The 22,697-nt window shown below is 45.0% G+C and overlaps 1 protein-coding gene and 1 long non-coding RNA gene across 10 annotated transcripts in view, besides 9 other annotated features; one reads left to right on the top strand and one right to left on the bottom strand.

Annotated features, from left to right (window-relative positions):
• Positions 5,176-5,427: a silencer, noted in NCBI's record as "fragment chr21:33119263-33119514 (GRCh37/hg19 assembly coordinates)". NCBI's record gives its function as "represses an EF-1alpha promoter that drives an FKBP-Casp9 reporter gene in an ReSE screen in K562 erythroleukemia cells {active_cell/tissue: K562}" and the evidence as "EXISTENCE:reporter gene assay evidence [ECO:0000049][PMID:32094911]".
• Positions 6,589-20,106, bottom strand: LOC124905008 (uncharacterized). The gene is made up of 2 exons (XR_007067842.1): positions 19,294-20,106; positions 6,589-6,900 (listed from the first exon to the last, which is right to left on the bottom strand). It is a non-coding gene; the product is annotated as an uncharacterized LOC124905008 (long non-coding RNA).
• Positions 17,616-17,791: a silencer, noted in NCBI's record as "fragment chr21:33106899-33107074 (GRCh37/hg19 assembly coordinates)". NCBI's record gives its function as "represses an EF-1alpha promoter that drives an FKBP-Casp9 reporter gene in an ReSE screen in K562 erythroleukemia cells {active_cell/tissue: K562}" and the evidence as "EXISTENCE:reporter gene assay evidence [ECO:0000049][PMID:32094911]".
• Positions 19,274-19,913: an enhancer, noted in NCBI's record as "H3K27ac hESC enhancer chr21:33104777-33105416 (GRCh37/hg19 assembly coordinates)". NCBI's record gives its function as "activates a minimal SCP1, AML or CMV promoter by ChIP-STARR-seq in naive and primed H9 embryonic stem cells {active_cell/tissue: H9 hESC(naive and primed)}" and the evidence as "EXISTENCE:reporter gene assay evidence [ECO:0000049][PMID:30033119]".
• Positions 19,706-19,765: an enhancer, noted in NCBI's record as "active region_18356". NCBI's record gives its function as "activates an Ori minimal core promoter by ATAC-STARR-seq in GM12878 lymphoblastoid cells {active_cell/tissue: GM12878}" and the evidence as "EXISTENCE:reporter gene assay evidence [ECO:0000049][PMID:35858748]".
• Positions 19,906-20,545: a silencer, noted in NCBI's record as "silent region_13244". NCBI's record gives its function as "represses an Ori minimal core promoter by ATAC-STARR-seq in GM12878 lymphoblastoid cells {active_cell/tissue: GM12878}" and the evidence as "EXISTENCE:reporter gene assay evidence [ECO:0000049][PMID:35858748]".
• Positions 19,906-20,555: a biological region, named in NCBI's record as "H3K27ac hESC enhancer GRCh37_chr21:33104135-33104776".
• Positions 19,914-20,555: an enhancer, noted in NCBI's record as "H3K27ac hESC enhancer chr21:33104135-33104776 (GRCh37/hg19 assembly coordinates)". NCBI's record gives its function as "activates a minimal SCP1, AML or CMV promoter by ChIP-STARR-seq in naive and primed H9 embryonic stem cells {active_cell/tissue: H9 hESC(naive and primed)}" and the evidence as "EXISTENCE:reporter gene assay evidence [ECO:0000049][PMID:30033119]".
• The window catches only part of SCAF4 (SR-related CTD associated factor 4), a 61,119-nt gene continuing 58,680 nt past the window's right edge, over positions 20,259-22,697 (top strand). For all 9 annotated transcript variants that reach the window (NM_001145444.1, XM_047440932.1, XM_047440931.1 and 6 more), the window contains exon 1: positions 20,259-20,714. In NM_001145444.1, coding sequence (NP_001138916.1) covers positions 20,685-20,714 — 30 coding nt within the window. In that variant the 5' untranslated portion in view covers positions 20,259-20,684. The remainder of the gene's footprint in view (positions 20,715-22,697) is intronic.
• Positions 20,556-21,015: a silencer, noted in NCBI's record as "silent region_13243". NCBI's record gives its function as "represses an Ori minimal core promoter by ATAC-STARR-seq in GM12878 lymphoblastoid cells {active_cell/tissue: GM12878}" and the evidence as "EXISTENCE:reporter gene assay evidence [ECO:0000049][PMID:35858748]".
• Positions 21,197-21,838: an enhancer, noted in NCBI's record as "OCT4-NANOG-H3K27ac hESC enhancer chr21:33102852-33103493 (GRCh37/hg19 assembly coordinates)". NCBI's record gives its function as "activates a minimal SCP1, AML or CMV promoter by ChIP-STARR-seq in primed H9 embryonic stem cells {active_cell/tissue: H9 hESC(primed)}" and the evidence as "EXISTENCE:reporter gene assay evidence [ECO:0000049][PMID:30033119]".

Raw genomic sequence — 22,697 nt, 5'->3', positions numbered from 1 at the left:
GGGGAAGTCAAGACCTCTCAGCCAATAACAAACCTTTTGAGAACCAAGGCTTGGGTTGCTGTGCTTCCAGTCAGCATGACATAGCGATTGAGAACTCAGGCTGGTCCTGGGTTGCCTGGGTTCGAATCTCATCTCCACCACTTAATAATGAGGCTCTAGACCAAGGTTGTCCAATCTTTTGGTTCCCCTGGGCTACATGGGAAGAAGAATGTCTTGGGCCACACATAAAACACGCTAACACTAATGATAGCTAATGAGCTAAAACAGGAACAAAAAACAAACAAAAAACTCATAATGTTTTAAGAAAGTTTGCAAATTTGTGTTGGGCTGCATTCAAAGCTGTCCTGGGCCACATGCAGCCTACAGGCTGTGCGTTGGACAAGCTTCCTCTAGACCATAGCCTATCTTTCCTTTGCTTCGGTTCCTCTTCTGTGAAATTGGCTTAACAGTAAAGGCTGGTTGGGAGGTTTCATGTGTAATGCATGAAAAGGGCTTAGCATGATGTCCAGCATGTGCTTAATAATACAGGTTGAATATCTCTTGTGTGAAATACCTGGGACCAGAAATGTCTCAGATTTCAGATGTTTTCACTTTTTGGAATATTTGCACATACATACCTTGGGGTTGAAACTCAAGTCTAAACACAAAATTCATTTACGGTTTTTTGTTTGTTTCATTTACGGTTTTTTGTTTGTTTGTTTGCTTTTTTTTTTTTTTTTGAGACAGAGTCTCACTCTGTTGCAGTGCACTCTGGAGTGCAGTGGCGCAATCTCGGCTCACTACAACCTCCCCATCCTGGGTTCAAGCGATTCTTGTGCCTCAGCCTCTCAAGTAGCTGGGATTACAGGCATGTGCCACCACGCCTGGCGAATTTTTGCATTTTTAGTAGAGACGGAGTTTTGCCATGTTGGCCAGGCTGGTCTCAAACTCCTGACCTCAGGTGACCCACCCACCTCGGCCTCCTAAAGTGCTGGGATTATAGGCGTGAGCCACCACCCCTGGCCATTTATGTTTCATATACACCTTATGCACGCAGCCTGAAGGAAATTTTATACAATATTTTAAACAATTTTGTGCATGAAACAGAGTTTCGACTGTGTTTTGCCTGCCACCCCTTCACATGAGGTCAAATGAGAAATTTTGCACTTGTGATGTCACATCAGTTCTCAAAAACTAGTACATTTTGGAGCATTTCATATTTTGGATTTGGGGATTAGGGACACTCATTCTATATGTTATTGGATCCAGCATGTTGAACAAGCATGAGTCATGCCAGAAACCAAACCTTACTTCAGTGTGTTCCTATCATCCCCCTAAGCTCTCCCTAGTGGAGGTGGCCTTCTCATGAGCTGGGAAACTCTGGCAGGTCCCAAACCTTTTCCACTCATTCCTTGGAACAGATGAGTCATATTAGGTCACAAACAGTTTCAATTTAGTAGTTAGAATGTTAGAATGGGTTGGGTGTGGTGGTTCATGCCTATAATCCCATCACTTCAGGAGACTGAGGCTGGAGGATCTCTTGAGGCCAGGAGTTTGAGACCAAGCCTGGACAACACAGAAAGACCCTGTCTCTACAAAAAAAGAAAAAATTGGCCGGGCACGGTGGCTCATGCCTGTAATCCCGGCACTTTGGGAGGCTGAGGAGGGCAGATCACGAGGTCAGGAGTTCAAGACCAGCCTGACCAATATGGGGAAACCCATCTCTACTAAAAATACAAAAATTAGCCAGGCTTGGTGGCACGCGCCTGTAGTCCCAGCTCTCGGGAGGATGAGGCAGAAGAATCGCTTGAACCCGGGAAGCAGAGGTTGCAGTGAGCCAAGATCGCGCCACTGCACTCCAGACTGGGCGACAGAGTGAGACTTTGTCTCAAAAAAAAAAAAAAAAAACGAAAAGAAAAGAAAAGAAAAAATTAGCTGGGTGTGGTGGCGCATGCCTGCAGTCCTAGCTACTTGGGAGGCTGAGGAGGCAGCATCGCTTGAGCCCAGGAGATTGACGCTGTAGTGAGCTGCTAGTATCAGGCCACTGCACTACAGCCTGGGCAACAGAGTAAGACCCTGTCTCTCTCTCTCAAAAAAGAGAAGAATGTCAGAATCCCAAACATGACAGTGTTAAATCTCCCTCACTGTTTGGCTGGAAGACTGCAGCGGGGAAGGTAACACGGCCTTCTGGTCCTCCTCTTCCCTTACTCATGTGTCCCCCAAACTTGCCAGTTGTGGGTGCAGTCCCACCAGGTGCATCAGAAGCAGTGGGTAGGGAGAAGGAAGGGTCTAGCCCAGCTCCAACTTGGCGGCTGGCTTCATGCTGTCTCAGGGCAGGCAGATGGTTAGAGGAGGCTCTCTCTCACTTTGGTGAGCTCTTTAGAGATTTCTTTTTTCTTCTTCTTCTTCTTCTTTTTTTTTTTTTGAGACACAGTTTCATTCTGTTGCCCAGGCTGGAGTGCAATGGTGCAATCTTTGCTCACTGCAACCTCTGCCTCCCGCGTTTGAGTGATCCTCCTGCCTCAGCCTCCCAAGTAGCTGGGATTACAGGCACGTGCCACCACGCCTGGCTAATTCTGGTATTTTTGGTAGAGACCGGGTTTCACCATGTTGGTCAGGCTGGTCTCGAACTCCTGACCTCAGGTGATCCACCCGCCTCAGCCCCCCAAAGTGCTGGGATTACAGGCGTGAGCCACCGTGCCCAGCCTAGAGATTCTTTTCTGCAACCTTTTCTCCCCCACTTCCTTTGACTGCAAAGAATGCACCTATTCTGGGTGGTCTCTTGTGATGTCTTTAATCCCTGGGCAGGAGTTGATCCACTCCAGCCTCTATCTGCTGAGGTCTCCAGGTGGCTGCTCTCTCTCCCACTCAATCCTGAGTGTGGTCCTTGGGAAACACTCAGCGTCACCTCCTATCCCAGTGTCATAGCACGGGGTATGCCACCAAAGCAGGTCTTCACCCTTCTCTCCCCCTTGGGAGAGTCAGAGCCTAGCCCATGGCCGCCTTAGATACAGTCTAGGTACTCATCCTTTATGTTGCCCACCTAGCAGGGACATATCTTAAAACTCTCCTGGGGACCCCTGTGGTCTTCCTCATGAGGCATGAGGTTACAATCAGGGATGGCAAACTTTTTCTGGAAAGAGCCAGGCAGCAAATATTTTAGGCTTTATGGGCTTCAGCCTCTGTCACAAGCTTCCCACTGATACTTGAAAACAGCGAGAGGCCAGGCGTGGTGGCTCATGGCAGTAATGCCAGCACTTCAGGAGGACAAGGAGGGCGAATCACTTGGGACCAGCCTGGCCAACATGGCGAAACCCTGTCTCTACTAAAAATACAAAAATTAGCCAAGCATGGTGGCACATGGCTGTTATCCCAGCTATTCCAGAGGCTGAGGCACGAGAATCACCTGAGCCTGGAAGGTGGAGGTTGCAGTGAGCTGAGATCAAGCCACTGCACTCCAGTGTGGGTGACAGAGCGAGACCCTGTCTCAAAAAAAAAAAAAAAAAAAAAGGAAAGAAAAGAAAAAGAAAACAGCCAGAGACAATACTCAAACAAATTATCGTGGCAGTGTGCCAATTAAAATTTATTTGTGCAAATAGGCTATGACCAGATTTGGCTCACAGGACAAAAGCTTGCTGGCCTCTCACCCCAAATAGAGGGGGGTTAGAAGCCTGAAACGGTCAACTCCTTTCCCCCAAAACTCTCACTACCAATCTCCTTATCCCAAATTCTCTCTCTCTGCACCCTGATCATGTTTATTATCTCCAAGTAGGGAAGGATGAGGAATTGCTGAGAAACACTTTTTCAGACATTGCCCTTGAAAATCTCAATACATGGATTTGCCTATAGCTTTGGTAGCCAATGACAACTTGGCACCTCAGTTGGAAATGACGCAGGAAGAGTTTAAAATGTGCTGAGCTTGAGAAGGCTGCGGAGTCCAGATGTGGCATCCAGCTGAGAGCTGAAAGTTGTGCCTTGAAAGTCACAAGGATGAACTGGGCATAGCCCTTGTCCTCTGTTCTATCACACACCGCCTTGCCTTCTTAAACAGAGAATGTGGCGCATACTCTCCCATTCCTCATTCACTGGGGCCTGATGTGTATAGCAGCCTTGTTGTGACTTGCTGTAAAACCAGTGCCACCGGGGGTTATGGAGGTGCCTGGAACAAGTTCCTCCTAAACAAAATGGCCTGACAGTGTTGTCTTTGTGTGTTCTTTCGTCTGCTTCCTATAGATTGCTGTCTATAGATCGTGTGTGTTCTTGTGTATGTTCTTTGTGTGTTCTTGTGTCTGCTTCCTATAGATGGCTGTCTTCTTCACTGTCAACATGTCAGCTGTTACCTCTAGTTGCTGTCAGTTTCCCTATCTCTAGTAGCCTCCTTAACTATTTTTCTACTTTTCATATGCTGGGACTTTAAAACAAAAAGAAGAAGATTCAAGATGTTAGAATTGCACTAGATAACTATGCTAGGGAGTGAGTGCAGAGTGGCTGTCCCTCTAGCTGGTGGCATGAACGATCTTAATCCGTGGACAATGGGATATCTACTGTGGCTGCTATGGACTTATTCATTTATTCATGTACTCATCATTCATTGATTTAGTTTTTTTGCTTGAATGCAGGGGCTCAGCCAGGGTGCTGACATAATGCAAAAAACTACCTGTATTTAGGATGGGATCAGGATTATTTTAAACATTTTTCAAATTTATTTAGATATTCACATAAGTACACAATTGGACATAAATGCATAAACGTGATCGCCATATTTTTAGGCCACTTTTTCTTTTCAGTTTTGTTTGCTTCCCCTCCCACCTTCACCTGTATCCATGCCCCCTTTCCCACTGTGATGTGGCATGTGCTGACAACCAAGTATACATCCTTCCATACTTCCTGCGTGCTTACACAATCACACAGCCCACACTCACACTCACAGTGTCCTGTCTGTGTGGCCGTTAGTCTTTGTTCTCACTCATTAGCCATACCTTAGCTTCCTTCTTCCCTGTTCTCCCTTGCTAATAGAACTTACTTGTTCAGATAGAAGGCAAAGATCCCTTGTTCTAAAGGAAAGTTGCTCATATTCTAGCCCTAGCAGATGAATCCTGACTGGTGTTCATCCAATCCCTTTCTTCTTTCCATTGGTTTAGGAATGAGCACATGGCTCATTTCTGGTCAATAAGGAGGTAAGGAGACCTGTGGGGAGACATTTCTGGAATAGCCTCTTTTCTAATTTTTAAATTTTTATTATTTTAGTTTAGTTTAGTTTTTTTGAGACAGAGTCTCGCTCTGTTGCCCAGGCTGCAATGCAATGGCATGATCTTGGTGGAATAACCTCCTTTCTTTACGTAAGTAAGGAGCAGACGCAGCAGATACCACCCTCTCTCCTGATTCACACTTTGAAATAGATACGATGGGCCGGGCACGGTGGCTCACGCCTGTAATCCCAGCACTTTGGGAGGCCAAGGCGGGTGGACCACCTGAGGTTGGGAGTTTAAGACCAGCCTGACCAACATGGAGAAACCCTATCTCTACTAAAAAAAAAAAAAAAAAAAAAAATTAGCTGGGCATGGTGGCGCATGTCTGTAATCCCAGCTACTAGGGGGACTGAAGCAGGAGAATCACTTGAACCCAGGAGGTGGAGGTTGCGGTAAGCTGAGATCATGCCCTTGCACTCCAGCCTGGGCAACAAGAGCAAAACTCCATCTCAAAAAAAAAAAAAAAGAAATAGATGTGATGGCTGGAACCATAGCAATCATCTTGCAAGCACAAAATAACAAAGAAGAAGTCAAAAAGCCAACATGTTAAGAAAAGTCAAGCAGAATGAAAGAAAGAGTCTTAGTCCTCGGCTGCAGCATTGGAACCAATGCCAGAAACCACTACTCTAGACTTTTTATGTAATGAGAAAAATAAACCCCTTTTTAAGCTATTGATCAGGTTGTCATTACTTGCAGCCATAAGCATTCCTACTTGAGACAGAATTTTATGTTTTGAAGTGGTTTGCTATGAGAAATAGACTCTAAAATATTAATTGGCTGAGCAGAAGAGGTAGGATAGAAGGCAGTAAGATTAAATTATTCCAGGTCAGTAATTTGGTGATGGCAAAAGATTTAGGTAAAATGTGGCCAACTCTACATGCTGTGCTATTGGGAGGAATGGTATGAAATTTCAGAATGTTGATTTTTTTATTCATTGTTATAGCTCTGTATTAGTCTGTTTTCATACTGCTGATAAAGACATACCCGAGACTGGGCAATTTACAAGAGAAAGAGGTTTAATGGACTCACAGTTCTACGTAGCTAAGGAGGCCTCACAATCATGGCAGAAGGTGAAAGGCACATCTCACATGGCAGCAGACAAGAGAAGAGAGCTTGTGCAGGGAAACTCCCCTTTACAAAACTATCAAATCTTGTGAGACTTATTCACTATCACAAGAATAGCACGGGAAAGACCTGCCCCCAGGATCCAATTATCTCCCACCAGGTCCCTTCCACAGTACGTGGGAATTATAGGAGCTACAATTCAAGATGAGATTTGGGTGGGGACACAGCCAAACCTTATTGGGCTCTTGGCAAAAGACAGCCATGGTGAAGATTAATGATTTTCCTCCCATATCCATTCAGACTTTAGTACCTTTAATAATAGAAGTTTTCTGAGATTCAGCAAGATACATGGTCATCCGGTCCAAAAATACCTTTCCCAGCCTCCCCTGCACCTTGCATGGCCCTGTGACCAAGCTCTGACCAATGGGATATGAGTGAACATGAAGTATGTAACATCCTAAAATGGAAACTGCAGGCCTTCTACTTCCTCTTTCTCCATCCTGTGGCTAGAAAATCATGACAAATGGCAAAGTCACCCTGGAGTTCACATGTTGGGGATGGCAGAATCACCTCACCAGCTCTGGACTGCTCACTTCTTGAGCATTACCTGAGAGAGAAATAAACTTTTTAAAACACATATTTGTGTTAGGGGGTGGGGGGTCCCTTTGTTTCAGCAGCTTATCTTATACCCTAACTTACCAAGAGAGGAGAATTTTTTTTTTTTTTTGAGACAGAGTTTTGCTCTGTTGCCCAGGCTAAAGTGCAGTAGTGCGATCTCGGCTCACTGCAAGCTCCGCCTCCCGGGTTCATGCCATTCTCCTGCCTCAGCCTCCCGAGTAGCTGGGACTACAGGCACCCGCCACCACGCCCGGCTAATTTTTTGTATTTTTAGTAGAGACGGGGTTTCACCATGTTAGCCAGCATGGTCTCGATCTCCTGACGTTGTGATCCACCCGCCTCGGCCTCCCAAAGCGCTGGGATTATAGGTGTGAGCCACCGCACCCGGCCAAGAGGAGATCTTAACTTAGAGACACCTGGTTTGAGAGGTGAGTGGGGGGAAAATCAGTTTTACTAAATGTGAAGTTCTTCTCCAATCCAATTTAACAGAGAGTCCCATAATTTTAAGCCTGGCAGGGTTAATAAAGGCAATTTTTCCTCTACTTCAGTTGAAGCTAATACAAGGGGACGCAGGAAAGTGACTGTCTAAGCAGGGGAGTTTGGGCACTTAGACACCAAAGAGGTGACTAAGGGCAGTGTTCCCCATGTAACTCTTTTCTATCAAATTATCTCATGCAATAGCCACTGAACCTATGGGAGAGGGGACGGGACAGGGCACAATGATCAGCAGCTTGGAGCCAAGAGTTCTTAGGCTTAAAGGCCATTTCTCCACAAAGCCCTTGGATGTGGTTACTTACACATGAAATTATTCAGAAGCAAACAGACTATAAACATACTGTCCTGAAGGAAATGCGTTGAAAACACAAAACCACAAAACCACAAACCCAGCGGGACCAGCCTAGGACTCCTCAGCCCCTAAGACGGTACTTCTTAACCTTGGCTTCACATTGGAATCACCTGAGGAGCTTTAAAAATTACTGCCACTTGGGTCCTTGTGACAAGATAACCTCAAAGAAGAGCAAAGTTGGAAGACTTCCTAATTTCAAAACTTACTATAAAGTTACAGCAATCAAGACAGTGTGGTACTGGTGATGAAAGGAACAGAATAATGAGGTCAGAAATAGGCCCACACATATGTAGCCACTTAATTTTAGACAGAAGTTCCAATGCAGTTCAATGGAGGGAAGAAAGCTTTTCAATAAAGGATGATGAAATAACTTTTTAAAAAATGAACCTTTATTCCTGTCTCACGCACATACAAAAAAATTTACTTGAGATAGGCCATGGACCTAAAATCTGTGCACTAAAACTGTAAAGCTTTTAAAAGAAACACAGAGGATATCCTCATGATCTTAGGACAGGCAAAGAATTCTTAGAACACAAAAAGGCTCTAAGTATGGAACTTCTGTCTCTCATCATGAGGTAGTAACGGTACAGAATTACCATTTCACCATAAAAAAGAAACAAACCAGAAAACTGGAAAATATACAGGAAATAACAATTTTCAGACATTGGACAAAAGGCAATTATTTACAAATATAAGAATTATCTCACAGATTTCTCATGAGAAACTATGCAAGCCAGAAAACAATGGAATGACACATTTTCAAGTGCTAGGTAAGGGGCAAACCCTGTAAATGTAGAATTCTATACCCACAGAAAATCCCTTTCAGAATTTCAGGTAAAATATAGACTTTTTCAGATCAACAAGAACAGAGAGGTTTCACTGACAGCAGATGTGCACTAAAACAAAAATTTTTTTTTTTTTTGAGACGGAGTCTTGCTCTGTTGCCCAGGCTGGAGTGCAGTGGCGTGATCTCGGCTCACTGCAACCTCCCCCTCCTGGGTTCAAGCAATTCTCCTGCCTCAGCCTCTTGAGTAGCTGGGATTACAGGTGTGAGCCACCTCACCCAGCCAAATTTTTATATTTTTAGTAGAGACAGGGTTTTGGCATGTTGACCAGGGTGGTCTTGAACTACTGACCTCTAGTGATCCACCCACCTCGGCCTCCCAAAGTGCTGGGATTATAGACGCAAGCGCTGTGCCTGGCCTAAAACAAATATGAAAGAAACTTCCCTATGAAAAAGAAAATTGACAACAGATGGAAACTTGGATCTATACACAGGAATGAAGAGTACTGAAAATGTTAAATATGTGGGAAAATACAAAAAGTATTTTCTTGTTTTCAAAATAATGACTAAAGAAAAAACAATATTAATGTATTGTAGGCTTATAAAATATACATGTAGAAATAAAATATAAAACAACAATAAGCACAGGATTGGAGAGGAAATAGAGGCATATAATAAGAATCACACATTATATGTCGAGTAGCATAAGTTTATTTGAAAGTGGACTGTAATAACTTAAAGATGCATATTGTAGGCCAGGTGCGGTGGCTCACGCCTGTAATCCCAGCACTTTGGGAGGCCGAGGCAGGTGGATCAGAATGTCAGGAGATCGAGACCATCCTGGCTAACATGGTGAAACCCCGTCTCTACTAAAATTACAAAAAATTAGCCAGGCATGGTGGCAGGCACCTGTAGTCCCAGCTACTCAGGAGGCTGAGGCAGGAGAATGGCATGAACCTGGGAGGCGGAGCTTGCACTCAGCTGAGATAGCGCCACTGCACTCCAGCCTGGGCCACAGAGCAACACTCCGTCTCAAAAAAAAAAAAAAAAAAAAAGATGCATATTGTAAACCTTAGATCAACCACTAAAGAAAAAGAGGTGCACATAGTAAGTTAACTAGTAGAGTTCAAATAAAATACTAATAAAATACTCAACTATGCCAAAAAAAGCCAAATGAAGAGAAAAATAGTAGAGCAGACAGGACAAACCGAAAACAGACAGCAAAATGGTAGAATGAAACTCAACCCTATTGACAACTACATTAAATGTGAATGGTCTAAACAATTCAGTTAAGTCAGACATGTCAGAATGGACTGAAATGCAAGGCCCAACTATATGCTGTCCACAAAAAAATCCACTTTAAAAATAAAGACACAGATAGATTAAAGGCAAAAGGATGGAAAAAAAATATACCAAGCAAGTATTAACCACAAGAAAGCCAAAGTGGCTTTTCAATATCAGGTAAAAGAGAATTCAGGGCAAGGAATGTTACCAGAAAAAAGAGAAAATTTTCCAATTGATAAGGAGTCTATTCATCAAGGAGAAATAATAATGCTAAATTTTTACGTACCTAGTAACAAAGCTTCAATATACATGAGTCAGCCAGACGCAGTGGCTCACACCTGTAATCCCAACACTTTGGAAGGCTGAGGTGGGCAGACCACTTGAGGTCAGGAGTTTGAGACCACCCTGGTCAACATGGTGAAATCCTGTCTCTACCAAAAATACAAAAATTAGCGGGGCATGGTGGCACATGCCTGTAATCCCAGCTACTCAGGAGGCTGAGGCAGGAGAATCGATTGAACCCGGGAGGCGGAGGCTGCAGTGAGGCAAGATCACACCAATGCACTCCAGCCTGGGCAACAAAGGGAGACTCCATCTCAAAAACCAACCAAACAAAGAAAAAAATACACAAAGCTATTGAAAGGAGAAATAAATACATGCACAATCACATCAGGAGACATCAAATCTCCTCTCTAATTGACATAATAAGCAGGTAGAAAAAGAATAGAAATCTAGAAGACTTAAATAATACCATCAACCAACTTGATCCAAGAGACGTTAACAGAACCTAACAAGAGCGGAATATATATTATTATCCTACCTAACAAGAGCGGAATATATATTATTATCCTACCTAACAAGAGCGGAATATATATTATTATCCTACCTAACAAGAGCGGAATATATATTATTTTAAAGTGCACATGGAGCAATCATCTAGGTAGACCATGAATTGAGCCACAAAACAAGTCACAATAATTAAAAAAAAACTGAAATCATATGAAGTATGATATGTGACTATAATGGAATTCGATTAGTATAATCAATCACAGAAAGATAACAGAAATTCCCAACTATTTGGAATTTAAACAATACTTTCATAAATAAGAACTTAGGGAAAAGAAAAACTCCCAAGGGAAATTACAAAATATTTTGAACTAAATATTTAAGAAATACAACACTCCAAAATTTGAGAAGTAAATTTAAAGTTTTAAATGCTTACAATACAAAAAAAAAAAAAAAAAAAAAGGCTCGGCTGGGCGTGTTGGCTCACGCCTGAGGTCAAGAGTTCGAGACCAGTCTGGCCAACATGATGAAACCCCATCTCTACTAAACATAAAAAAAAATTAGCCGGGCATGGTGGTATGTGCCTGTAATCCCAGCTACTCAGGAAGCTGCAACAGGAGAATTGCTTGAACTAGGGAGGTGGAGGTTGCAGTGAGCCGAGATGGTGCCACTGCACTCCAGCCTGGGTGGCAGAGCGAGACTCCATCTCAAAAAAAAAAAAAAAGGCTAAAATCAATGATCTAGGCCTCCACTTTAAGAAACCGGAAAAGAGGCCGGACACAGTGGCTCACCCCTGTAATCCAAGCACTTAGGGAGGCCGAGGTGGGCAGATCACAAGGTCAGGAGTTCAAGACTAGCCTGGCCAAAATGGTGAAACCCCGTCTCTACTAAAAATACAAAAATTAGCCAGGCATGGTGGCGCACACCTGTAGTCCCAGCTACTCAGGAGGTTGAGGCAGGAAAATTGCTTGAACCCGGGAGGCAGAGGTTGTGGTGAGCCAAGATCACCCCACTGCACTCCAGCCTGGGCGACAGAGTGAGACATTGTCTCAAAAAAAAAAAAAAAAAAAAAACTTGAAAAGAGCAAATTAAATATAAAGGAAGCAGAAGAAAGGAAATAAGAGTGAAAATCAATGAACTAGAAAGTCCACAAACAATAGAGCTAATCAATGAAACCAAAAACTGTTTCTTTGGTTTTTGGAACAACAAAATAGATGAATCTCTAACCTCACTCAACAAGAAAAGAAAAAAAAGAAGATAGAAATTATCAATATCAGAAATGAAAGAGGAAATATCACTACAGACATTAAAAGGGTAATAACAGAATATCATGGAAAAACTTTATGCAATAAATTGACAACCTTTAAATGGACAATTTTCTGAAAAAAATACAAATGATCAAAACTCCCTCGAGAAACAGAAGACCTGAAGAACACTATATCAATTTTAAAAATTGATTAATATAAAACCCTCTCATAAGCAAAACTTTAGGCCCAAGTGGCTTCATTGGTGAATTCTAACAAATCTTAAGAAAGAAATAATATCAATTCCACACAGGCTATTTTAGAAAATAGAGAAGGAGGTCGGGTGTGGTGGTTCACACCTGTAATCCCAGCACTTTGGGAGGCCGAGGCAGGTGGATCACCTGAGGTCAGGAGTTCGAGACCAGCCTGGCCAACATGGTGAAACCCCATCTCTAGTAAAAATACAAAAATTAGCTGGGCATGGTGGCAGCTGCCTGTAATCCCAGCTACTTGAGAGGCTGAGGCAGGAGAATCGCTTGAACCCAGGAGGTTGCAGTGAGCCAAGATCGCACCACTGCCCTCCAGCCGGGTGACAAGAGCAAAACGCTATCTAAAAAAAAAAAAAAAAAAAATAGATAACAGGGAAGGAGAGAAGCACTTATCAAATAATTTGATGAGAGCAAGCTACCCCGACACCAAAACCATTACAAGAAAAGGAAAACAGAGACCACCAATACCACTCATGAATATAGAAGGAAATATTTTGACAGACAGAATCTTTGCAAATTGAACCCGGCAACATATAAAAAAAGTAATATCCCATAACCAAGTGGATTTTATTATAGGAATGCCAGGTTGGTTTCACATTCAAAAACCAATCACAGTAATTCATTAATATAATAGAATAGACAAAATCACATAATCATCCCAATGAATATAGCCATGGTATCTGACAACATTAACACCCATTTGTGATTTTTGTTGTTGTTGTTGTTGTTTTGTTTTTTGAGACGGAGTCTCACCCTGTTGCCCAGGCTGGAGTGCAATGGCGTGATCTCGGCTCCCTGCAACCTCTGCCTCCCAGGTTCAAGCAATTCTCCTGCCCCAGCCTCCCAAGTAGCTGGGATTACAGGTGCACAGGCGAGCGCCACCATGACCAGCTAATTTTTTGTATCTTTAATAGAGACGGGGGTTCACCACGTTGGCCAGGCTGGTCTCAAACTCCTGACCTCGTGATCCGCCCACCTCGGCCTCCCAGAGTGCTGGGATTACAGGCGTGAGCCACCACGCCTAGCCAGCATACTTCCTATTTTGTCTTGTTTTCAGTTGTGTGGGGTGTTTTTTTTTTTTTGAAATTAACAAGTTGATTTAAAAATTTATATAGAAATGCAAAGATTACAGCATAGTGAAAACAATTTTTAAAAGAACTATGTTGGAGACTTTAACTGATTTACTTGAATTACTAGAGAAATTAAGACAGTGGGCTATGTATATGCAAGAAAAGTATATAGATATATATAAAGGAACAGAGTACACATACGTGGAACTAGATCCACACATATGTGGTCAACTGATTTTCAACAAAGGAGGCAAAGTAATTCAATGGGGGAAATGATCTTTTTTTCCAACAAATAGTGCTGGAACAACTAGATATCCTAATGTAAAAAAATGAAGCTTGATATTTATCTTATCTCATACACATATATTAAATCAAAATGGATCACAGACTTAAACAAAAGTGCTAAGCTATAAAGAGTCAAGAAGAAAATAGAGGAGAACATTTCCATATCCTGGGGATAAGCAAAAATTTTTCAATATGACAGAAAAGCACAAACCATAAAAGAAAAAAGTATAAATTATATCCATCAAAATTAAAAACATCTGCTTTTCAAAAGAAAATGAAAAGGAAAGCCACAGACTGTGAGGAAATGTTTACAACACACATATCTGACAAAGGACTCATATCATTCAATAGCTTCCTATTGAAGCTTCCAAATGATCCGTTTTTTTAAAGGGCAAACGATTTGAACACTTTACTAAAGAAAGTATACATGGCCGGGTGCGGTGGCTCACGCCTGTAATCCCAGCACTTTGGGAGGCCGAGGTGGGGGGATCACAAGGTCAGGAGTTCAAGACCAGCCTGGCCAACATGGTGAAACTCTGTCTCTACTAAAAATACAAAAATAAGGTGGGCATGGTGGCATGTGCCTGTAATCCCAGCTATTCGGGAGGCTGAGGCAGGAGAATCACTGGAATCTGGGAGGCGGAGGTTGCAGTGAGCCGAGATCCAGCCACTGCACTCCAGCCTGGGTGACAGAGCAAGACCCCATCTCAAAAAAAAAAGGAAAAGAAAGTATACATATGGCCAATATACACATGGAAAATACTCAACATCAGGGCAAGGTGCCAGACTCTGGAGGAATAGTTCCTCGAGGAAGGAACTTATCTGTGTTTGGGCTTATCACAGTATTCCACACACCTAGCACAGTGCCTGTCCACAAGAGATGTACACATTTATTTTCTGAATGAATGAAACAGCAAATGTTGGACTGGCGTGGCCTAGTCCTAAAAGGTGACATTTCACTTCAGATGAGACTGGTTTTTAATACTTTCCATTTTGGAAAGAGAATCTTGGATTCCTAATCCTAAGTAAGATAGGAAGTGATGAAGAGAAATTGTTTTCCTTTATTAGTTACTCATATGCTCACTGTTGCAATCATAGCTAAGATGACATCCAGAACATTTTAGGTTTGCTGCATACTTACTTGTATGTTTACTTTTTTAAGGAGCTTACTCTTTCTGACAATAAAACTGGCCTGGTGTGGTGGCTCATGCCTGTAATCCCAGTACATTGAGAGGCCAAGGAGGGCGGATCACCTGAGGTCAGGAGTTCGAGACCAGCCTGACCAACATGGCAAAACCGCATCTCTACTAAAAATACAAAAAAAAAAAAAAAAAACCAGCCAGGCACGATGGCGGATGCCTATAATCTCAGCTGCTCAGGAGGCTGAGGCAGGAGAATCGCTTGAAACCAGGAGGTGGAGGTTGCAGTGAGCCGAGATCACCCCACTGCACTCCAGCCTGGGCAACAGAGTGAGACTCCTTCTCAAAAAAAAAAAAAAAAGTGATACATGCCTTCTGTGAGGAGTATGAAAAATGCTGAAAAATTAAAAAGAAAATGAAAATTCCCTAAAATCCCATTGCCCAACTGCCGTTGAGCTCTTCCTTCTTGGAGTTCCTGCTTTCCACACATTTCATTCCATTGTTTTGGCCCCAACAACATAAAGGGCATGAAGACAGAAGATGCACAAAAGGAGTCAGGTGGGTCCCTTGGGGATGGAGGGATCCCCATGTGGAATTCCCCAGTGGGCAGTTGAAATGCAGTTCTAAACCAGGAGAGAGTTCAGTCACATCCCTAAGTGGGGAGGAAGAAGAATCACAGAGGTGTCAGGGAAAGCTTCAGAGAGAGGAGGAGGCAAGATAATGAAAAGGTAAGCCACAGACTGGGAGGAAGTATTTACGATACACATATCTGACAAATGACTTGAATCCAGGAGGCTGGCCAGAGAAGGAAAGCAGACCAAGGAGAAAGAAGTCTCATATAATACAGCCAGTTTATACTCTCTCCAGAAAGTATATGGCATAAAGCATTAGAAAGAACTCATTTTCAAGGCTGGGTGCAGTGGCTCATATTCCCACCCATATTCCCAACACTTTGGGAGGCCGAGGCAGGAGGATTGCTTAAGAACAGGAGTTGAAGACCAGCCTGGACAACATAGGAAGACCCTGTCCACAAACAAATTTAAAATTAGGCCAGGTTTGGTGGCTCATGCCTGTAATCCTAGAACTCTGCGAGGCTGAGATGGAAGAATTGCCTGAGCCCAGGAGTTCAAGACCAGCCTGGGCAACACAGGGAGATTAGCTGGGCATGGAGGCTTGTACCTGTAGTCTCAGCTATTTGGGAGGCTGATGTGGAAGGATCGTATGAGCCCAGGAGGTCGAGGCTGCAGTGAGCCATGATCACACCAGTGCATTCCAGCCTGGGCGACAGAGCAAGACCCTGTCTCAAAAACAAACAAACAAACAAACAAAAAACAGAAAGAACCCATATTCTCTTAAATTCTTATCTATAAATGTTTTATTGGACTCTTCAGGCGTGAGATGCTTTCTCTCCATATTCTCTATACCTGTGGATTGTGGCCAGCATTCTTTTCAAGAAAATGAGCTGGCTTTTGAAGAACACAGAATTAACCAGAACATTGCTTCCTGAATGTCATCTTTTCCTTCCTCCGCAAACAGATTTCATCTACTCTTTTTAAAAACATAAGTTTGTTTAGAATGGCTTTTCAGAACTATTTTCACACCCACATTATGAACAAACGAATCTGTTTCAATCAATGTTCTTTGAAAGAAGGCAAGTTTGCAGATGTATTAAATGTCTTGCTGATTTTTATCCGTCACGCTTATTTCTGAACCTCTGGCCATCTTTTCAATAGGCTACATTCCTACTGCTTCAAAGTCTGCTCACAAAGGACAACCCTCATAAGTTTTTGTCATTTACCCAAAATTTCCTATTGGAAGGTTCGACTCGTCTGCCTGGAGAGATAAAGATGGAAGTCCAGCAGTAGCTGTGCAAATGGCCACCAGATGTTCCAGAACAGATACAGGTGCTGCTGTCTTCAGAACAGGAAAATGCTAGAAAATGCTGCCAAGGCACCCAAAGTCTAGCTGATACCAACTACTTGCTAAAAGACCTCTCAAACACTGTCAACATAAAAACCAAATAATCCTATCCAGGAAAGAACCTCCAAAATCCGTTAACTATCTCAAGCACATGGATCTTAGAAGCCAAATCTTGTTTCTTGTGCATTCAAATCTCAGTAGGATGGTACACAGAAAATACCCCCTTTGGACTATCACTTCCTCATTCAACAACCATTATAGGCCCCAATAGCTGTAAAGCACCGAGTCCCAAGGCAACCTGTCCAAAGCTCAACTCACTACTCTCCTCCCAAGTCCCCCTTTCCAACCCCAGCTTAAGACTTCATCCTTCCTTAGCCAGATCTATTTCCCTGACTCACAAGAGGAAAGCAGACTGTATGAATTGGGGAAGGGGGATCTCATTTGGCTTTGTGGACCCATTTTTAAGTTCTGCCACTCTTCACAGAAACAGGTAGAGATACAGCGGGGGCACATCATGTCAGAATAATGCAGACTTTTTTTTTTTTTTTTTTTTTTTTTTTTTTTTTTTTTTTTTCAGATAACAGCAATACAAGGTAAGAGGTGCTATGGTGGAGTCATAGAAGCATATGGTGGAAGATGCCAAGACTGGCTGAAAGGAGAGTGGGGAAGCTTTTCCGCACAGTGCCTGGCACAAAGTACATGCTCAATACATGATTAATGAATGAAAAGGCAGTGACATCTCAATATCAACTAGATGTTAAATGGGCCTGCCTATATAGAGGAGCAGAGAGGGGTTTTCTATGAGAGCAAAGGCCCAGCCATGTCAATTCCCAGATGTGTCCAGGGAATGACAAAACCTGGGTTGTGCCCTGGCAACAGGCTGGAAACATGGTGTGGGGATCTTGGACAGAATTTGGTAGACAGTAGATCTCCAGAAATGCCAAATGCCAAATGCCAAAGGGTAGGAAACAGAGATCTACTCACATCTGTACTTTTTTTTTTTTTTTTGAGATGGAGTCTTGCTCTCTTGCCCAGGCTAAAGTGCAGTGGCATGATGTCGGCTCACTGCAACCTCTGCCTCCCGGGTTCAAGCGATTCTCCTGCCTCAGCCTCCAGAGTAGCTGGGATTACAGGCACGTGCCACCACACCTGGTTAATTTTTTATATTTTTGGTAGAGACCAGGTTTCACCATTTTGGCGAGGCTGGTCTCGAACTCCTGACCTCAAGTGATCTGCCTGCCTCAGCCTCCAAAAATTCTGGGATTACAGGCATGAGCCACCGCGCGAGCCTCATGTCTGTACTTTCTAATGCAATGTTAGTGGTCTTGCGGATGACAGCTGTTACAGAAACAAGATGGATTTGGAAAATATAATGGTAGTTCAGTTGGAAGATTAAAAAGTAGTGATAGGAAGTGGTAATGAAGTAGAAGATGAGTGGACCCGAAAATAAAATTTGAAAACTACTTTCTTTGTTCCTTTAACAAGTAATTAAGAGTACATTACTCTGGGGGAGGGATAGCATTTGGAGATATACGTAATGCTAAATGACGAGTTAATGGGTGCAGCACACCAACATGGCACATGTATACATATGTAACAAACCTGCACATTGTGCACATGTACCCTAAAACTTAAAGTATAATAATAATAAAATAAAATAATTTTAAAAAAGAGTACATTACTCTCATCTCAAAACAAAACAACACACAAGCAAACACTCTCACTTCCTCCTGCAGGTTTTTTCTGTTGTCTTCACAACTTGCCTTCACAGCCAAGTTTCTATAAACTTTCTCCTGCCTGCCTTCCCCTCTTTGATACACATCAGTCTAGCTTTTGCCCTCACCACGCCAGCCTACACGCAGGACAAGCTCCCTGCATGTAGCACCCGTCAGGCACTTTCCAATTCTTATCTTGCTGGACTTCTACTCCAAGCACCAGACAGAGCTGATCACTTCAGAGCTCTCTCTTCACCTCTTCTTGCCTCCAACTTATCCCTTACATACCCGTGTTCCTGGGCTTTTTCCCCCTATCTATTTCAGCTCCTTCCACCACTAGCTGTGCACTAATGACTCCCAGATTTCTATCATCTCAGCCATCGCTCCTGACTCTGCAAGTGTTTACCCAACTGCCTCCTAGACATCCTCACTTACTTGTCCCAGGCGCAGCTCAAACTCCACAGGCACCAAAGGGAAATGATCCAGCTGTGTGACCTTGGGCACATTAATTAACTCACTCCCTGAATTATAAAATGAGGGCATTACTAATGGACACCTCACCCAGAAGCCTGTTACGGAGAGTACAGAATAGCATGTCAGCAGACGTTGGCACATGGTAAGCGACAAGTGTTAACCATCATTCTGTCTTCCCTCAAACCCACGCCTTCTTCCCCATAAATCCCCTACGTTGACTCATAAACCCACCACCCAGGTCATTCATCAAGTCAGGCTGTGGGCATCCTCCTTGACACCCCCTTTATTAACCTCACAGTTACTCTGCCTCAGCCCTTCCACTCCACTTCCTAAACATCTGTTCTTCCTTCTCTATCGCCACCACCTTCAGCCCTCATTTTCCCAGGGGGCTGGGGTCATTCTTTCCCTGTCTCCTCTTACTACTTTGCACCATCCTTCTGAGAGAACACTGCATCCATCACTCCACCTTCCCCTTTCAAGGGCTCCCCTCTGCCTTATGGGGGCAAAATCCAAACTCTGGAAGAGCAAAGCCTCTTTATGGTCTCACTCTCCTCTCTCAGTCCACCTTGCTCCTCAGCTCCAGCTGGTCCTCCTTCGGGGGAGGTGATGGTGGCAGTCCTCATCAGGCTCTGCAGGCCTCTCCTCCCTCCAGATGTAGCCTGGACTTCCTGTCGGAGGCGCATCTTTCTCGTTTCCCAGGGCCTGTGCCCTAACACTAAGCATGCTTTGGTAAGTATCTGCTCAGTTGTCTGTCCTCTCCACTAAACTGTGCTGTTTTCAGGCAAAACAATTATCGTTTATTTCCATGTCTCCAACACTAGGCAGACAGTAGGTACTCAAGGAAAGTGATCAACATAAAGAGTTTTGGCCAAAAATGAAACAACTTGGTTTGAGGAATCAGCGTGAAAGTTAGTGAATCCACTCCTCTCGTGGCACAAGGCTGCACAGGGGTTCCTTAAGGCCTGCGTGGATATCCAGTGCCTGAACGTCTTTCTCGGTGTTTTCGCTCGCGCAGAATTAACCTGCACAACTACAGCGGACACACAGCTGCACTGGCATTGGCAGAAGCTTTTTTTCTTTTCCCCAGCAGAGCGCACGAGGGCCTGCAAAGGCACGCCCAGAGAGCCGAGGTTAAATCCTGCGCCCTTTGTTCGCGGCAGCCGAGAGCCAGCGGCTCAGTGCCCGCCGCCCCCGCCGGGTGCAGGGCCGGTTAGGGCCGAGCGTTTCGCAGAGACGCACCCCGGGAGCACCGCGTCGAGCGGAGCGCGCGTGCGCCAGGGCTTGCTCTGGGTCACCCTCGCAGCCCTGGGATCCCGCGCTCTGCAAGGCCGTCTCCCCGGCCCGCGGCCGCGGCCGCCGCCGCCGCCGGCGGGAAAGCGCCCAGCGTCCCGGCGTCACGCGCCAGCAGCCCTGCACGCGGGGCGGTGCAGGGCGGCGCAGGGCGGGACGAGGCGGGGAGGGGGCGGGGCCAGCGCGACGGGGCGGGGCGAACGCCGGGCACAGGAAGCGCCGGGAGGCCTGAGCCGTCCCAGGGTGCCCCGCGCGGCGTGGACTCGGGCCGCTGCCGCCATCCCGCTGGAGAGAGGGAGAGAGAGGCCCGCCCGCTCGCCGGCCGGGCCAGTGTGAGCCAGTGCGTGAGGGCGCGGGGGGCCGTGTCAGCGAGACGCAGAGCGCAGCCGCCACCACCAAACGGACATGTTGAAGACCAGCGCTGCCGCCGCCTCCTTTTCCTCATCCTGCGAACGGGACTGAGAGGGGGCCCGCCACCTCTCCGCCTCTGCCTCGGCCGCCCGCCTCGCCGCTTCGGGCGCAGCCTCTTCCTGCCCGGGCCTCGGACTCCGCCGCTCGTCGCCTCCCCCCGGCCACCAGGCCCGGCTGGTTTCCCAGCCCCGCTCCGCCGCGGCGCGAGGTCTATGTGACCGGCGGGCCCGGAGCAGCCGCCGCCGCAGCGCGAACATGGACGCCGTCAACGCCTTCAACCAGGAGGTAAGGGGTGTTTGGGGCAGGGGGGTGCCGGGCCTGCTGCGGGAGCCGGGGCTCGTTTCTCCCGCCGCCGGAGGTTTAAAGCTTTGGTCCGGGTGGGGACGCTTCCTGCCCCGGTTCCGGGGCGGCGGGGCCTGCGCGGAGCGGGGCCTGTGGCCCGGGAGAGGTCGCGGCGACCACGGGAACTGACCCCGCACCCCTCCCCCCACTGCCCACCCCCGGACCGCGACCTCGGGCTTCTCCCCTCGCCCCCTTGCGGCCTCCCATAGCCCAAGTCTGTGCCTGTTCCTCTAACTTGGCCCTTTTTCGGGTCTGGGCGCCCTCGCTCTCTGCTCCGCGAGCCCCGTTGTCGGGTTCGCAGTGCCGGGAGCCCGCAAAGGGCTAAGAAAGAAGCGCGGGCGGGCGTGTGGGGTTGGGGGCGGGGGAGCGGGAGCATCTGCCGGTCGTGGGGCTGGCGGAGAGGTGGCTTCAGCTCTCCTGTTGCTCAGGCCGCGGCGCGTCGACGGCTGGACTCTGATCCCGGGTCTGGGAGGAGTTGAAGAGGGTGTTCATCCCCCTTCTCCGGGATTCACGCACTTGGGAAATAGGGCTAATAAACGGAGAGGGGGTGGCTCGTTATAATTTAAAGTCGTGAACATAACCCTCTTATAGGCTCTATGGCCCCAACGTGACGCCTAAAAAGTTGAATGGGAGAGAAGAGTATTCGCTCCGCCTTAGTCCGCTAGAAAGCTGGCGTTGTCCTCCAGTTCCCTACCCTCGCACCCCCTCCCGAGGTAGTTAATCCTCGGCTCCCTTCTACGAGGACATTTACATGTGAAAACCTCTCCAAACTGGGAACAAAGCTGCCTGCGGCCTTAAAGTTCTCTAGTTGTTTCTCTGATCATTCCAGGTGTTGCTTTTGGAGTGTAGAGTCCATACATCCTATTTGTCAGAATCGATTTGGGAGGAGGAGACTTGACCATTGATGATTTAAAATGCAGTTACAGAATGGGAACTATTGTCATGGGTTGAGTTGTATTGTCTTCCCTTTCCAAATACCAAAGATAAAGCAACATTGAAAAATCAAATGTTGTAGTTCGAGATGTGTGGATGTGGCGTTAAAAACGTGCTGCATCTCACAGATTTTGTAGGTTTACTTGTAACAATTATGGTGCAATAACTTTCCTTTAGATTTGCAGTGCCATAATATATGGGACTTTCCAATTACACTGCAGTTGAGACAATTTATTGCCATATAAATTATCCTAAAAGTGATTTTCTTCAATTGATGGGTACATAAAATGCCCTAACTGCAGAAGTTGCAACTGGTATTGGACAGTGTCTTGTAAAAGTTCAGTTGTGATGATTTTCAAAACAATAAAAATAATATGTCCTAGTTTTTGATCGCCAGAGAATTTGTGATAATGCTCCAAACATTTCAGGGTTGGAAGCTGATTGTTTTCTGAAGGTAGAATTCACTGGCATGTTGGCTCCTGGCTCCATGAGGGCAGGAAGTTTCAGTTCTTTTCCCCGCTTCTCTACCAATCAAAACAGGTGCCTCGCAAATAATTGTTGAATGAGAATTTAAACAAATGGCACAACAATAGTTAAAATATTTCAAGTACATTTTTCTCCCAACAATGAATGTGTATTTTAAAAATTTATTTCAGAATCGGAAGAATGAATGTTTTTGATGAAAGAAGAGGATTTTTAGTTTATTCTTAAGATCAGAAGTATTCTGATTCAGGCATTATGGAAGTTGACATCAAGCACATTGTTAAGCAAAGTATTTTCTATTAATCCTGAAAAGGCACAATCAGTAATTTTTACTTTGAAAAACCAAAGTTAGGAATGGTATTGATTCCTTGAAAAAGGGAAGTGATATTTGACCTTTTAAATGTGCAAAATGAGCATTTTCTTATCATTGTTCATTTTCCAGTTCATTTCAGTTCTATTCCTAGTCTTTATGAACTGCAAAGAATGCCAGCTCTCTTCTGCTAAATTAAA

The sequence above is a fragment of the Homo sapiens genome, chromosome 21 (genome assembly GCF_000001405.40).
Source record: "Homo sapiens chromosome 21, GRCh38.p14 Primary Assembly".
In the NCBI taxonomy this organism is placed as follows: domain Eukaryota; kingdom Metazoa; phylum Chordata; class Mammalia; order Primates; family Hominidae; genus Homo; species Homo sapiens.
This window is presented reverse-complemented; position numbering and strand designations above follow the sequence as displayed.